Genomic DNA, 14,848 nt, shown 5'->3' with positions numbered 1-14,848 from the left:
CTGCTTGTTTTGTTTGTGTGTTTGTTTGTTTGTTTTCAGACGGAGTCTCACTCTGTTACCCAGGCTGGAGTGCAGTGGCACGATCTCGCACTGCAACCTCCACCTCCCGGGTTCAAGCAATTCTCCTGCCTCAGTCTCCCTGATTACTGGGATTATAGGCACACAGCCCCATGCTTGGAAAAGAGAAATGGGACCAAAATTGTCTACAAGTGTGAAGTATTACTGCCATGACTAATGCCACTTGCTGGGGCCAGGGACCCATGAGTGGCACATGTTTTCAGAGCCCGTAATCAAGTCACGTGGCTCTCCCTCCACCTTCTGTCCACCATCACTTCCAAGCTAAGGTCTGGGGAGCCTTACCCAGTGCATTAAAGGCAGGAAGCACATCAAAGCTGACACTTTCGTTGAGGACTTTGGATTTCAGAGAGAAGCTCAGCACCCTGGGAGCCTTCCACTTGGGAGGCTCAAAGCTGACTTCAAGCTCCTCCTCCTTCTCCCTCCAAAAGGCTTTCAGCTGTTCATGGATTTCCTTGACGATTTTGTGCCGCTCGTTTTTTTGGGAGGTGTAGCTTTTAAGTGAGTTATGGAACACGACGAGATCGGCATCAGAGCCAGTCTTCAGAGCTGTGCCTTTGGCGGTTGATCCTCCCTAAGGAAGAAAGGAAGGTTGAGATCCAGAATTTCCTTAACCGAGGAGTCCCGTGCCCCCGTGGGCTGGCACCAGTTGGGCTAACTGACACTGTTTCCAAGGCCAAGTTCTGCGTTAGGGTTCAGTGAGGGCTGAGTCCAAAGCAAAGGGTTTTCTTTTACAAACTAATAGATAATGCAGTTATTAAACAATACAGTTCCCAAGGCAATTATTCTCCTGCCTTTTATACATGAACAACTGATGGGCTAGTTACAAGTTACCTGCTTCTCAGGTCAATTTCCTAAAGATTTTCCTAAAGACATATTTAGCTTTATTTGGATTCCTGTAACCAAATAAATCGAGCGGAATGCAATAATTATGGTGAAGGTGCTCATCTGTTCTTTGATGTGTGTTTTCTCCTGCAGGTCTGGCGATCATTGGGTGAATATCCATAATTGAGGTACAGGGTTGGTAAACTTTCTGCAAAAGGGCCAGATAGTAGGTATTTTAGGCTTTGTGGGCTATTTATGTCTCTGCCATTAAGGCTTCTCCCTTCCCTCCCTCCTCCTCTTCCTCCTCTTTCTCCTCCATTTAGTTTCTGTAGAGAAAAATGTTTTATTTTATCCATGGGTATTAAATGCCTGATTACATGGGTTAAGGAGGTGAGGAAAGGGTATGTTCTATTTCCTGTATGCAGATCCTCAATTCATCCCTGTTCCAGCCCCCTTCATTCATGCAGGCCACCTTTGTCTTTAAGAGGTGGGCTTCGGCGGCTCCTCTCAGACTGTAGCCCCTTCCTTACAATCTCTAGGTGTCACCTTCCTCTGGCCTAAGCAGAGAAACCTTCAACCAACTTCAGGAAGATGGAAAGCAATGTCTTATCTGCCGATGGCTCTCTTTTCTTCTTTGATGTGTCATATACCTTTTATTTTTCACTGACTATCATGTGAATGGGGTTTCAGGAAGGAGAGGAGAAAGCACATGCTTTGACAATTCTAACACTGATCAGAAACTCAGTCCTGTTTTCACTCCAGTGACCTTCAATGAGACAGTTCACTCATTGCCCTGGGGCTATTGGTGCCATTTCCCAGGCCCCTCTTCTCTAGTTGCACAGATTTGTTCTGGCATCAACGCAGAAATTTACGCGTACATAATAACATTTTCCTCCTTCCCTTCTTGTGACCACGGGGACACGTTTATCTGGTCGTGTGACCAGTAAACAGAGAGAAACATGTCAGCCCCGTGGCCTTTGAGCCACGGACAAGAATGACAAAAGCCTCTAAATCTCTAGCTCAGCTGATGGGGCAAGCCGGGCTCCAGTCACTCAAAGGAGAAGGAGATTCTAAGCTCCTTAGAATCTGCAGTGGGTTCAATGGTGGACCCCTAAAAATACATGCTCTGGGGGCCTGTGGATGTGCCCTTATTTGGAAAAAGGGTCTTCGCAGATGTAACTGAGTTAAGGACCTGGAGATGAGATCATTCTGGATCAGGCTGGGCCCTAAATCCTATGACAAGTGTTCTTAGAAAAGAAGAGAAGGGGGAGGACACAGAAGAAAAGGTGATGACAGAGGCAGAGACGGGAGTGATGTGTCTCCAGGCCCAAGAGCCCCAAGGACGGCCAACAGCTCCAAGAAAAACAATACAGAATCAAAGTTGTGTTGTTAATGACCTAGGCAGTCTATCCACAACCCCCCTGAAAACTAGTGTCCTAGTTCCCTTAACTCCTGGCTTCCCTTCCTCAAGTTTCTGAAGGTAGATGGATCCTGGAGAGCTACAATGCCCACTTACCTCCCTTCCAGGAATGCCCAATATTACATCATTCCAACAAGACATGAGAAAGGCCAGTGCTCACCCGGACAATCTGGATCTTGGCTGTTGATTGTCGGAAGCAGTTTTCTTTAAGGAATGTACGGATGATGTTAACAGCACTGTCAATCTGCTCTAGGAAGCATTTGTTGGGCTGGAGAAACTCCTTGATGAACTTATCCAGAAGGTGGCCTGGGGTCGTGAAGAGTGGTGCAGGCTGGGGAAGGAAGGAAGACCCCAAGTGTGAGTGGCACCTGTAAGCCCACCCAAGGCTTCTTTTCCTGCCTGTACTGGGCCCCCTACCCTGCCTCTCCCAACTGCCCTCCTGCTCGTGGGCTGGCATCTTTTCCGTCTTTTGTCATTGCACAAATACATCCCAAGAACACACCTGAGAGTTTGGAGTGGCACACAAGACCCCCCACAGACACAAAAACTGTCCTAGTTGCCCCTCCTTCCCCCTAGGAGAGATCTGGATCCTTGTCCAGACAGATCTGTCGTGTTCCTAACTCCAAACTCCTTTTCCATGCCCAGTTGGAGCATCACTTCCTAATGACCTGTGGCTTTTTGCTTTACCTACACCTCTGGTCCTTCCCTGTCTTCCCATTTGCTGTAGGTATTGGAGATTGCTGATGACCACATCCATTCCTTTCTTAAGGTTGTATCAGCCTGCGTTAAACACGCCATGTGCGGGTGTGTTGGTTTCCAAAGGCTGCCATAACAAGTGACCACAACTAGGTGGCTTAAAACAACAGAAGTTTATTCTCTCCCAGTTCTGGAGGCCAACAGTTCAAAGTCCAGGTTTTGGCACAGCTGTGCTCCCTCTGAAGCACACGTGGTTAAGTCTCTAGAGATGGGAGGATTATTCTGCATTACCTGGTTTGGCCTGATGTTATCACAGGGGTCTTTTTCCTCTTAATTTTAATTTTTAATTGAATTAATTAATACATTTTTCTCCACTTTTACTTTAGGTTCAAGGAGGTACATGTGTGGGGTTTTACATGGGTAAATTGCATGTCGCTGAGGCTTGGTGTATGAATGATCCCATCACCTAGGTAGTGAGCATAGAACCCAACAGGTAGCCTTCCAACCCATGATTCTAACCCATGTTTTTTCAGAAATAGTGTCTCGCTCTGTCACCCAAGCTGGGGGGCAGTGGTGCCATTATAGCTCACTGCAGTCTCCAATTCCTGGGCTCAAGGGATCCTCCAGCCTCAGTCTCCTGAGTAGCTGGGACTACAGGTTTGTGCCACCACGCCTAGCTTTTTTTTTTTTTTTTTTTTTTTTTGTAGAGATGGGAGTCTCACTAGGTTCCCCAGGCTGGTCTCAAACTCTTGGTCTTAAGCAATCCTCCCACCTCAGCCTCTCAAAGTGCTGTAATTACAGGCGTGAGCCACTGTGCTTATAAGGACAAGGGTACTTATAAGATGGAGGCAGGAGGGTTAGAGTTGGAGTGTGGTGGTGTTGGAGTTAGAGTTAGGTGGTGTGATGTTGGAAGTAGAGAGAGAGGCTGGAAGATGCTATGCTATTGGCTTTGAAGATGGAGGAAGGGGCCATGAGCCAAGAAATTTGGACAACCTCAAGGAGCTTGAAAAGGTGAGGAAGCATATATATGTATATATATATATGTGTATATATATATGTGTATAGATGTGTATATATATGTGTATATATGTGTATATATGTATATATGTGTATATATGTATATATGTGTATATATATGTGCATATATGTGTATATATGTATATATGTGTATATATATGTGTATATGTGTGTGTGTATATATATGTATATATATATTTTTTGGTTGGTGCAAAAGTAATTTTGAGACAGGGTCTTGTTCTGTCACCCAGGCTGAATGCAGTGGCACAATCATGGCTCACTGCAACCTTGATCTCCCTTGCTCAAGTGATCGTCCTGCCTCAGCCTCCCAACTAGCTGGGACTACAGCTAATTTATTTATTTATTTTTGTAGAGACGGGGTATTGTTATGTTGCTCAGGCTGGTCTCAAACTCCTGTTCTCAAGTGATCCTCCCGCCTCAGCCTCCCAAAGTGTTGGGATTACAGGTGTGAGCCACTGTGCCTGGCTCAAATTCATGTGTTTTAAGCCACTAAGTTTAGGGCATTTTTTTAAAACAGCAGTAAGAGGCAAGTAATTACTGTTCTATACAAATATTGTACTTTTGCTGGCAACACAGACAAGATGGGCTAGCTCACCTGGAGGTGGGGAAGGGCACTCAGCTTGAAAGTTGAAGGCCAACCTTGGTTGTTCTCAGATGTTGTAAGTTGGCCTTATAGTTGCTGAGGACGGTGCCTATTGAAGGAATATTCATTGCCAACACTGCCCCTTCCACAGGGCAGAATATTTGTGGTGTGTGAGTGCATATGTGTGCGTGGTATGAGTGCATGTGTGTGCATGTGTGTGAGTGCATGTGTGTGCATGGTGTGCATGCATGTGTGTGCATGAGTGCATGTGTGCATGTGTGTGAGTGCATGTGTGTGCATGGTGTGAGTACGTGTGTGCATGTGTGTGAGTGCATGTATGCATGTGTGTATGCATGTATGTGTGTGCGTGTGTGCGTGTGTGCATGGTGTGAGTACATGTGTGTGCATGTGTGAGTGTGTGTGTGCATGTTTGTGTATGCATGTACGTGTGTGTGTGTGTGTGTATGTGTGCATGAGCCCCCAATGTTTGGACCGCCTTATGCAGTGGTTCCTGGGCCTAAATTTTCTTCAACAACTGCAGAGACAGGGATGGTCTCACAGTTCTCAAAATAGAAGTTGATGGGATAGCAGAACAAAAACAGCCACAGTGAGTATCAAAAGATGGTTTAGGAGATGTTTGGAACTAAATGCCACATGTGCTTCTGGGTTGGAAAAGAATGTCCTATAAAGGCCCTTCTTGGAATGACTGTCGAAATCATCCCAATGGGCTGTATTGGGACAATAATATATGACTCCTAGTCTCCTGAATTTGATCATGGCATGGAGGTTATTGAAGAGAATATTCTTGTTCTCAGAGATCCCTATGAAAGCATTTAAGGGTAAAGAGATGTCTGGCAGTCTACTCTCAAAGGGCTCAGTATAAACAACAACTATAACAATGGGCCAGGTGAGGTGGCTCACGCTTGTAATCCCAGAGCTTTGGGAGGCCAGGTGGGAGGATCACTTGAGCCCAGGAGTTTGAGACCAGCCTGGCCAATGTAGCGAGTTATAGCCCCATCTCTTAAAAAAAGATTAAAAACAACTGTAACAACAACAATAATAACGTGTGCACACACAAACTGTAACATAGCAAATGTTGCACATGGGTACTGCATCTATGTGAGGGGATCATAGGAGTTTACTGAATCATTTTTCTAACTTTTTAAATGTTTCAAAGCTTCAGAATAAGATGTCAGGTCGGGGGGATAATTTTTTGAAAAAATCTGTCTGAAGAAGCCGGGAAAATTGGGGTCAGAGAGCAAAGACCAGGGGTCCAGTGAAAGTAGGGGTTAGGGTGGGCACAGGGGTGACTGCTCAGAGCGTCCTGATCCTTCTGGGTCCAGTTAGGGAAGTTCCCCATTCATAGACTCCCCAACCTCTGTGAAGTTTGCTAAACTCATTTACATCTTCATTTACATGCCAGATTGGTACTCAGTTAGCCTTCAAACTTCTGTGCAAACGGGGTATAGATTCCGCCTCCCATAACTTGAATATAAATTAATCTGTCTGTGAACTGTGGAATTTGATTGGCCTCTTTGGCCTCAATTAATACAGTTGTCTCCAGTGCGGTTCCCAGGAAAGCTGAGAGGGCTCAGTGGTCTAACCTGGGAAGGTTCTTCTTGGATGGCTTTTCTCTAATAAGCACTGAGCATGCAGGGGAGTTTGTGTTGACAGATTTACTTCTCCTTTTGGGGATGGGAGGGGGAAGGCCAGTGCACCTGTTTCACAGCTGGTGCCTTAATTGGTTCTCTTGTTTCGGCCGCACTTCTGACTGTTGCCCCCGGCACCTGCCTGAACGGAGCTCAGAGCCTGTCCTGGCATCCACAGGCCTGACTGCCACCCCCTTCTCTGAGCAATGCTCCGTTTCATGTCTCCACCTGCTCACCAGCTTTCTCTCTTGCAAAAATTAATTGAGATCTCGCATCTTTGGGTACCCCCCTTTCTCTTTGTTCCATTTTGCACTTCACAGTCATTGCCCTGATGGTGTGTGATGGGTTGAACTGTGTCTCCCTAAAAGATGCTGGGGTTCCAACCTACAGTATCGATGAATGTGTGTTACTTGGAAATAGTGTCTTTTCAAATGGGATCTAGTGAAGATTAGGTCATTATGTTGGGCCCTAATTCAGTATGACTGTTGTTCTTAGAAGAAGAGGAGATGATAAGACAGACATGCACAGAGGGAAGGTGATGTGAAGACATGTAGGGAGAAGGGCATGTGACCTCAGGGACAGAGGCTGGAGTGATGCAGCCACAAGCCAAGGACTGCTGGCAACCACCAGAAGCTGCAGGAAGCCTGGAATAATTCTTCCCTAGGGCCTGCAGAGAGCTTGGCTCTGCCAACACCCTGATTTTGAACTTGTAATAGCCAGAATGGTAAGAGAATAAATTTCTGTGGCTTTAAGCCATCTGTGTTGTGGAACTTTGTAACAGCAATACAGGAAACGAATATAGAGTACTCTCAGATAAGACCTAGCCTGGGTGTCAGGAAGACCTTCCTGCAGCATGAAACACCCTGTATTTGGAAAACCCTCTTACCAGAACATTCCAAGATGGTGCAGGTAACTCATTATCCAGGTTGGGAGAAGTCAACCAGGTTTGAGCTTCTTTTTTCAGCCATTGCCAGCATATTTTATCTCCACTCACATTATTGGTTGGGTCAACTGGATCCAAGATTACTGGCCTGTGTATTCCATTAGATTAAAAAAAGTCAGTTGAGCTGCTTGTGGGAGGCAAAATCTGTTTTGGGGAAAGAGGCCTGGAGTGGGAATCCGGCAACTTGAATTTGGATTCCTGCAGCTCCTCCAAGCTGCTGAGGGATTTTGTCTACGACATCAAGCCCCTCTGGCCCTGGGTTTGCTGCTTTACAGAGACATTCTATTAATAAAATAACAAAGTGGTCTCCTCTTCCTGCCCCCCATCCCCTTTCTCTCTTAGCTCCTTCCTTCTATAAGGGGAAGTGTCTCTCCAGTGTTTGTTTAGGGGACAAAATGTGACTATGGTTTGGAATGTGAAAAGCACTGGCTGGACCTCCCCTCTTTCAGACAGACCCATCTGCCTCCCCACCCATGGTGGCTGCCATTCTTCTGGTCCAGCACTGGCTTGATAGGGCAAGGCTGAGATCTCATTCCAAAGAGGTATGCCTGGCATGCGGATGATGAGGTACAGGGATAGGGTGTGAGAAGCTTGGCACCTCGCTGATTGGAGCTGGTGCAGCAGGATGTTCCTGATGGTCTCATCTTCAAAGTTGTAGTTGACCATCCAATAGATACACAGCTTCTCCTGGCATTTGATCAGCTCCAGTACGGTTCTGACGCCTTCAGCAATGTCAAAGTTGTCTTTTCTGCACCCCTGTTCCCAGGCATACACCGTAAGCAGCTCCAGGGCATACGGAGACAGCGAGGGTAAATCCTTGATTTTTTTCTGGCACTGTGGGATAAGGAAAGGGTAGCAGCTCATTGGGGGATCTAGTTCTTACCATGTCAGGGATCTGAAATCAAGAAACCAGAGGTCTACAGGAAGTCATTGTCCTTTGCTAGAATGCCTACAGTTCAGTGGACTGACAATACCAAGTCTTGACAAAGATGTGGAACAACTGGGATGGAGCAGGGACCTCTCTTAGGTGTCTGCAGGCCACCCACTGCTCCCATCCCACAAGCATGAAAATAAAGGAAAATCTGGAGTTCTTTCGAGGGAAATTCCAGGCACCTTACTAGCCTTGAAAAGTCAATGAGCAACTCGATAAGCAAAAATACAGTAGTTCAGGGTCTACAGGAGCAGTGAAAAAAAACCCAATAAAACAAAAACAACAAAAAAGAAGGTAATAGTCACTTAAAACAGTAGCCAAGGAAGTTAGAGTCAAAAGATGTTTTGTTCCCTATAGAAACTAAAGATAACATCTTAGCATATGTCCCTGAGTTGATTTTCAGAAACTCAGGCCCCCACCAAGCAAATCCACTGGCAGGTAGACCTCAGATGAGGGGAAACTGAGGATTGAACCCTGACCTCGTTCTTTGTTCTAAATTTCTTCCTGAGGGTTTTGGAGGAGGTCACACCTACGAGCCAGAGCTAACGTTCCCTTCTGCTGATCTGAAATTTTTAGATAAAGCTTCGCCCATTTCACCCATCACAAATTGGAAAGTCTTTGAATCCTGTGACCAGCGCCACCCATCCTCCTCCTCCCTCCTGCTTGGAGACGTCCCACCTTTTTAGGTCAAACCAATGTACAGCCTCCATGTGTTGATTTATGGCTTTGCCTGTAACCTCTGTCCCCTCACCTTTAAAACCCTTACCTGTAAGCCATCGGGGAGTTCGGCTCTTAAACATGAGCTGCCCAATTCTCCCTGCTTGGCTCCCTGCAATAAATGCTTCACTCTCTCACTGCAATCCCAAAGTCTGTTTGGCTTTGCTGCGCTGGGTGGGCAGATCCCCAGTTGGGTTTGAGAATATGCCTGAAACTCACATCTTGCTGATGGGAGTATAATTTGGTAAGATTTTGGAAATGATTCGGCAAGATTTGCTATGGTTAAACAAAAAAACAAACTACATATATATTTTATATATTTACACGCATATATGTACACAACATTCATATATGTGCACTGGATAGCCCAGCAATTCTACTGCTACATATTTATCCAAGAGAAATGAATGCTTACATTCACAAAAAGACATGTAGGGAAATACCCATAGTAACCTAATTCATAATTGCCCCAATTTGAAAATGACCCAATCATCTATTTGAAAATTGCCCCAATTTGAAAATGACCCAAAGCAGCAGAATGGATAAATGTGTGTTACATTAATACAATTGAATATGGGAAAACAATGAAAAAAAGTGCTACTATGGCTGGGTGCCATGGCTCATGTCTGTAATCCCAACACTTTGGGAGGCTGAGGTGGGCACATAGCTTGAGCCCAGGAGTTCAAGACCAGCCTGGGCAACATGGTGAAACCTCATCTCTACAAAAAATACAAAAATTAGCCAGGTATGGTGGCACACTCCTGTAGTTCCAGCTACTTGGGAGGCTGAGATGGGAGGATTGCTTGAGCCCAGGAGACAGGTTGCAGTGAGCCAAGATCCCACCACTGCACTCCAGCCTGGGCAGCAGAGCAAGACCCTGCAACCATATGAATGAGTCTCTCAGACATCCCGTTGAGCCAAAGAAGGCAGACATGAAGTATGTACCATATAATCCCACTTACATTGTTTGTTTAAAATCAAGCAAAACTAATCTGCGGTGGTAATAGATGTTAGAATAGGGGTTTGTTTGGGAGGATTACTAGGGGGACAATGGGCTTGAGGCACCTTCTGGGGTACACGAAACGTTCCCTATGTTGATTTGGGTGTTGCTGGTAAGATTGTAAAAAATGCGTTGAGCTGTATACCTAAGATTGTTGCACTTTACTGGATGTCAATTATCTCGATAAAAAGGAAATGAATGATAACCATATATAGACAGTTGGAAAATTACCTGTTGATGCCAGTGCTTTATCAAGAGGATCAAATCCTTTAGTTTTCCAGGACGGTTGTCAAAAAACTTCTGCTGGAGTTCAGTGAAGCAGACTGCAAACTCACCAGGACTGGCATTTGTCTTATCCAAGGATCTTTTGAGCTCTCGATAGATCCAGGGGCTGGGATTATCATTTAAGCCTGATGTGAAACAGAAATTGGAACGTTGTTATTTATGTAACCTGGTTTTAGAGAGCCAGGGTTGCTCTACAATGAAGGTCAGTTATAGTTTGATAGCACACGACTCTTGCTTAATCGGTCAGAGGACAGGTACCTTTACATAAAACATAGTAGGGAAGGGTGACTTGGCCCATTAGATAATAAAGTGTAGTCTAAACTGACTGTAATGAAAACAGTATGGTGTTAACCCAAGACAAGATCAGCAGAACCTAATGGAGGGACAAGAGATGGAATTATAAACGAGAAAGGGAATTATCCAAATTAGTAGGGAGCAAGTGGGTTCTTTAAAAAATTGTTTGTGTTGGCATAGTTAGCATACATCTGGAAGAAAGGAAAGTTTATATTTTACATGCAATATATTCTGTCATTGAGTCCATCCTGTGAATATTTTACTTCAGAATGTCAGGGTACAGGGACTTTGAGGAGGCAGGCAAGGTGGCAGCAGGGCCCTGGAGGTCTGGGGACAGGGGCTGGTTTAATCAATGGGTTTCCATTCTTGCTAGCTGAGTTCCACTGTTTATAAACACATTTATTTAGCCAGGCACGGTGGCTCATGCCTGTAATCCCAGCACTTTGGGAGTCTGAGGCAGGCGGATCACCTGAGGCCAGGAGTTTGAGACCAGCCTGGCCAACATGATGAAACCCCGTCTGTACTAAAAATACAAAAATTAGCTGGGCGTGGTGGCAGGTGCCTGTAATCCCAGCTACTCAGGAGGCTAAGGCATGCGAACTCCTTGACCCCGAGAGGTGGATGTTGCACTGGGCCATAATTGCACCACTGCACTCCAGCCTGGGTGACAGAGTGAGACTTTGTCTCAAAATAAAAATAAAAATAAAATAAACACATTTATTGATTGATTACTGTTACTGAAACACCAGGGGTTCAGTCTAGGTCCTGCTGCTCACCACATAGAAAGCCAATGGCGGAAACAAGTGTTGCCAAGAAGAAGGCTTTAATCAGGTGCTGCAGCTGAGGAGATGGGAGATCAGTCTCAAATCCTTCTCCCTGACAGACTAAAGTTAGGGTTCTATATAGCAGGGAAGAAATGTAACTATGTGTGGGAAAACGGGAATTAGGGAGGGGTAAGGAGGTAATCATGAGGAATAAGGGATTTGACATCCCATTGTCTGGATGCAGTGACTGGTGAGTTTCAGTTCTTTGATACTTTTTGAGAGGTCTGAGGTTCCTTTTCTGAGGAAGGAACTTAGATAAAACAAATGTAAGTTTCAAGCTTTAAGATCAGAAGGGTCAATTTCTATGTTCATTAAAAAACAAAACAACCCTCCCCCCCCCACAAAAAAACAACCAAACAAATAGAAACAAAAACAAACAAAAAATGGTCTATAGGACTACTGAGTTTGTTTCATCATTATTCTTACTTTTAGAGACAGAGTCTTCTCTGTCGCTCAGGCTGGACTGCAATGGCACAATCATAGCTCACTGTACCCTCAAATATATTTCAAGGCTCAAGTGATCCTCCTGCCTCAGCCTTCTGAGTACCTGGGACCACAGGCGTGTGCCACCATGTTTGGCTTTTTTTTTGGAGAAAAAAAAAAGCCTGTTGCCCAGGCTGGTCTTGAACTCCTGGCCTCAAGTGATCCTCCCACCTTGGCCTTCCAAAGTGTTGGAATTACAGACGTGAGCCAGCTCCCTGGCCCATAAACACATTTAGATAAGAAACCAGGAGAAAGCAGCTAGCTTGTTCCTTTCATACACCCCAGTGGATATTTACTGACTCCCTAGGCATGGTTCTGGGCACTTGGCATGCAGGGAGGTTGACGGAAAGAGCATTCTATCTTCCCCCATAATGATAATAAATAGCTAACGTTTATGGTGTGTTTACTCTAAGCCTTTTATGTACAGTGAAACATACAAGCCTCACAAAACTCTTAGCTGGCAAGTGCAATTGCAATTACTAATTTACAGATGAGGATAATGGAAATACCAGCCAGTCAAGTAAATAGGTACTTCTTGCTTTGGGTCAAAGGCCCTAGGGGGAGAGTTGTAGTGGCACACAGTGGTGGAAAGAGATGCAGAATTGGAGACAGCCAGCCTGGACCTGGTGTAAAAATAGGCCAGATTAGTTAGGCTAATATTTAGTTTAAAAAACAAAACAAAACGAAAAGCAAGTTACCAATTCCCCTGTAGGTTGCTTTTCTCAGAAAGTGACCCTGTGTTTCCTTGCAGAAAAAGGAGCTTATAATAATTTGGAATGTGCAGCTTTACCACCATCTAGTGGCAGCTTCTGGGTAGCACATGTGGGGAAGAGTTTATTTCTCATTCTCACACCATCCTTGCATGATGGGGTGAACCCAGTAGAGGGCGCTCTGGCCAGGTCTCCCAGCATGGCACTTGGAACAGGAAGAGAGGACTTTCCTATGAGAATTATGATGCACCTGTCTCCCTCCTTGACTCCAGCCCTTGTTTGAAGCAGGCCCCCACCCCCAACCCTGAGCATCCTAATGGCCCTGGAATCTAGTTTCTAGTCTGACTGTACAGCTGGCAGGCATAAGTGAGTAGTAGGACCAGGATAAGAACTCAGAACTGCCAACCTCCCAAACTGGTACATGTTTCCCCAAGCCAGGCCACCTTTCTGTGAATGTGAGTTATCAGGATGTCTGTATGTCTCCTCCTTATCAGTGATGCCTGGGCTAATTGTTCTTCATGGTTCCTGGTAACCCAGAAATTCCTTAAAACTATAGGTGATGGAAGGTACTCTGGCCATGGGCTTAGAAGACCTGGGCTTTTCTGTTTCCCCATTTGTTTAATGATGGCTTAAGTTTCAGCTTGGGAATTTTCCCTTCCCCTCCCCTCTCTTCCCCTCCCCTCCCCTTTTCTTTTCTTTCTTTCTTTTTTTTTTTTCTTTTGACAAGATCTTGCTCCGTTGTCCAGGCTGGAGTATAGTGGTGTAATAATAGCTCACTGCAACCTTGAACTCCTGTGCTCAAGTGATCCTCCTGCCTCAGTCTCCCCAGTAGTTAGGAATACAGCTGCATGCCACCACATCTAATTTTTAATTCTTTTGTAGAGATGGGGTTTCACTATGTTGCCCAGGCTGGTCTTAAACTCCTGGCCTCAAGTAATCCTCTTGCCTCAGCCTCCCAAAGCGCTGGGATTATAGGCAAGAACCACTGTGCCCAGCCTGGAATTATTTAAGTTTGTGATTATATGTGCACCTGTACTTGAGACTTTGTGCTTGAGACTATCCATCTATCTACCTCATCCATAAATATATACATATATTTAATATCTATCTATCCATCCATCCATCTACATTCATTTTTCCATCCATTTACCTTCCATCCATTTATCCATCATGCTCCATCCATCCATCCAACCAACAACTATTATTAATAATGAACATTGTACTAGAGACCATAGAAGAACAAGATACTCATGATACCTGTCCTCATGGAGCTTATAGTCTAGGAGAGGAGAAAGCTAAATACATTATTTCCATATAAGTTGTGAAAGGAAAATAAATCTTGGGGCCCCAAAATCACTCGGTTAAAGGGAAAAGTCAAGCTGGGAACTTCTCAGGACAAACCTGCCTCCCATTCTATTCAAAGTCATCCCTCTGCTGAGATAAATGTGTATTTGATTGCCTCCTTTGGAAGAGGTTAATCAGAAACTCAGAGGAATGCAACCATTGGTCTCTTATCTACCTATGATCTGGAAGCCCTCTCCCCACTTTGAATTGTCCCACTTTGCTTCGAGTTGTCCCGCCTTTCCGGAGTGAACCATTGTTCACCTTACATATGTTGATTGATGTCTCAGGTCTCCCTAAAACGTACAAAAGCAAACTGTGCTCTGAGCGCCTTGGGCACATGTCATCAGGACTTCCTGAGGCTGTGTTACGGGTGCGCATCCTCAACCTTGGCAAAATAAACTTTCTAAACTAACTGAGACCTGTCTCAGATAGTTGGGGTTTGCAAAGTGATAAATCCCATGATTCAGACAGCACAAATTGCTACTGGAGCATGTGGAAAGTGGATCTAACCCAGACATAGAGAGCCAGAGGACTTAAAGGATGAGTTGGAGTTATCCAAAAATAAAAGGCTGGGGGAAGTATATTCCAGGCAAAGGAACAGTATAGGCCAAAGTCTCAAGTTGAGCTAGCATCATGTGGGTTTGAGGAGCTCAGGGAAGGCCAGAGTGGCTGAAGCATAGAGAGTTAGTTGGTGGTGAGTGGTACAGCTGGAGAGGTAAGTAAGTAGGGGCTGCCAGATCATCAAAGTCCTGTCCTGCTGAGGAGTTTGATCCTTATCCTTGTAAACCAAAAATAAAATTCTAAGCCTTCCCAACCTACTGAATGAACCCCTCTCTTGGCCAAGGGGAACCCCCAAAGAAACCTGAAAAACTAGCTCAGGTCATGATGGGAAGGGGGAGCTCAGACACCTCATTATACCCTCCTCCCTTTGGAATTCAGGCACAATCGACAAACACTAACATTAAAATAGAGACCCCAAGACTGACAGAACAGACTCTTTGTAGCAGTATGACACCAAATTCCAGCCTAAC

The 14,848-nt window shown here is 45.1% G+C and overlaps 1 protein-coding gene across 2 annotated transcripts in view, besides 3 other annotated features; it reads right to left on the bottom strand.

The window, feature by feature from the left end:
* OAS2 (2'-5'-oligoadenylate synthetase 2) overlaps positions 1 to 14,848 on the bottom strand; it is a 33,205-nt gene that overhangs the window by 6,141 nt on the left and 12,216 nt on the right. For both annotated transcript variants that reach the window (NM_002535.3, NM_016817.3), the window contains exons 3-7: positions 10,109 to 10,287; positions 7,828 to 8,063; positions 7,173 to 7,317; positions 2,481 to 2,651; positions 361 to 649 (exon numbers count right to left, since the gene is read on the bottom strand). In NM_002535.3, the coding sequence (NP_002526.2) occupies positions 361 to 649; positions 2,481 to 2,651; positions 7,173 to 7,317; positions 7,828 to 8,063; positions 10,109 to 10,287 (1,020 nt within the window). The remainder of the gene's footprint in view (positions 1 to 360; positions 650 to 2,480; positions 2,652 to 7,172; positions 7,318 to 7,827; positions 8,064 to 10,108; positions 10,288 to 14,848) is intronic.
* Positions 1,047 to 1,216: an enhancer, noted in NCBI's record as "experimental_24566 CRE fragment used in MPRA reporter constructs". NCBI's record gives its function as "activates a minimal promoter by MPRAs in K562 erythroleukemia cells, with activity observed for the non-introgressed 12:113442257 or rs1293749 variant allele {active_cell/tissue: K562}" and the evidence as "EXISTENCE:reporter gene assay evidence [ECO:0000049][PMID:34662402]".
* Position 1,131: a transcriptional cis regulatory region, noted in NCBI's record as "Neanderthal adaptively introgressed variant 12:113442257 (GRCh37/hg19 assembly coordinates) or rs1293749 in the experimental_24566 CRE". NCBI's record gives its function as "modulates activity of the experimental_24566 enhancer by MPRAs in K562 erythroleukemia cells {active_cell/tissue: K562}" and the evidence as "EXISTENCE:reporter gene assay evidence [ECO:0000049][PMID:34662402]".
* Positions 8,786 to 8,955: an enhancer, noted in NCBI's record as "experimental_24560 CRE fragment used in MPRA reporter constructs". NCBI's record gives its function as "activates a minimal promoter by MPRAs in K562 erythroleukemia cells, with activity observed for the non-introgressed 12:113434518 variant allele {active_cell/tissue: K562}" and the evidence as "EXISTENCE:reporter gene assay evidence [ECO:0000049][PMID:34662402]".

The sequence above is a fragment of the Homo sapiens genome, chromosome 12 (assembly GCF_000001405.40).
Source record: "Homo sapiens chromosome 12, GRCh38.p14 Primary Assembly".
Classification (NCBI taxonomy): domain Eukaryota; kingdom Metazoa; phylum Chordata; class Mammalia; order Primates; family Hominidae; genus Homo; species Homo sapiens.
Note: the sequence above shows the minus strand (reverse complement) of the source record. Positions and strands in the feature narration are given on the sequence as shown.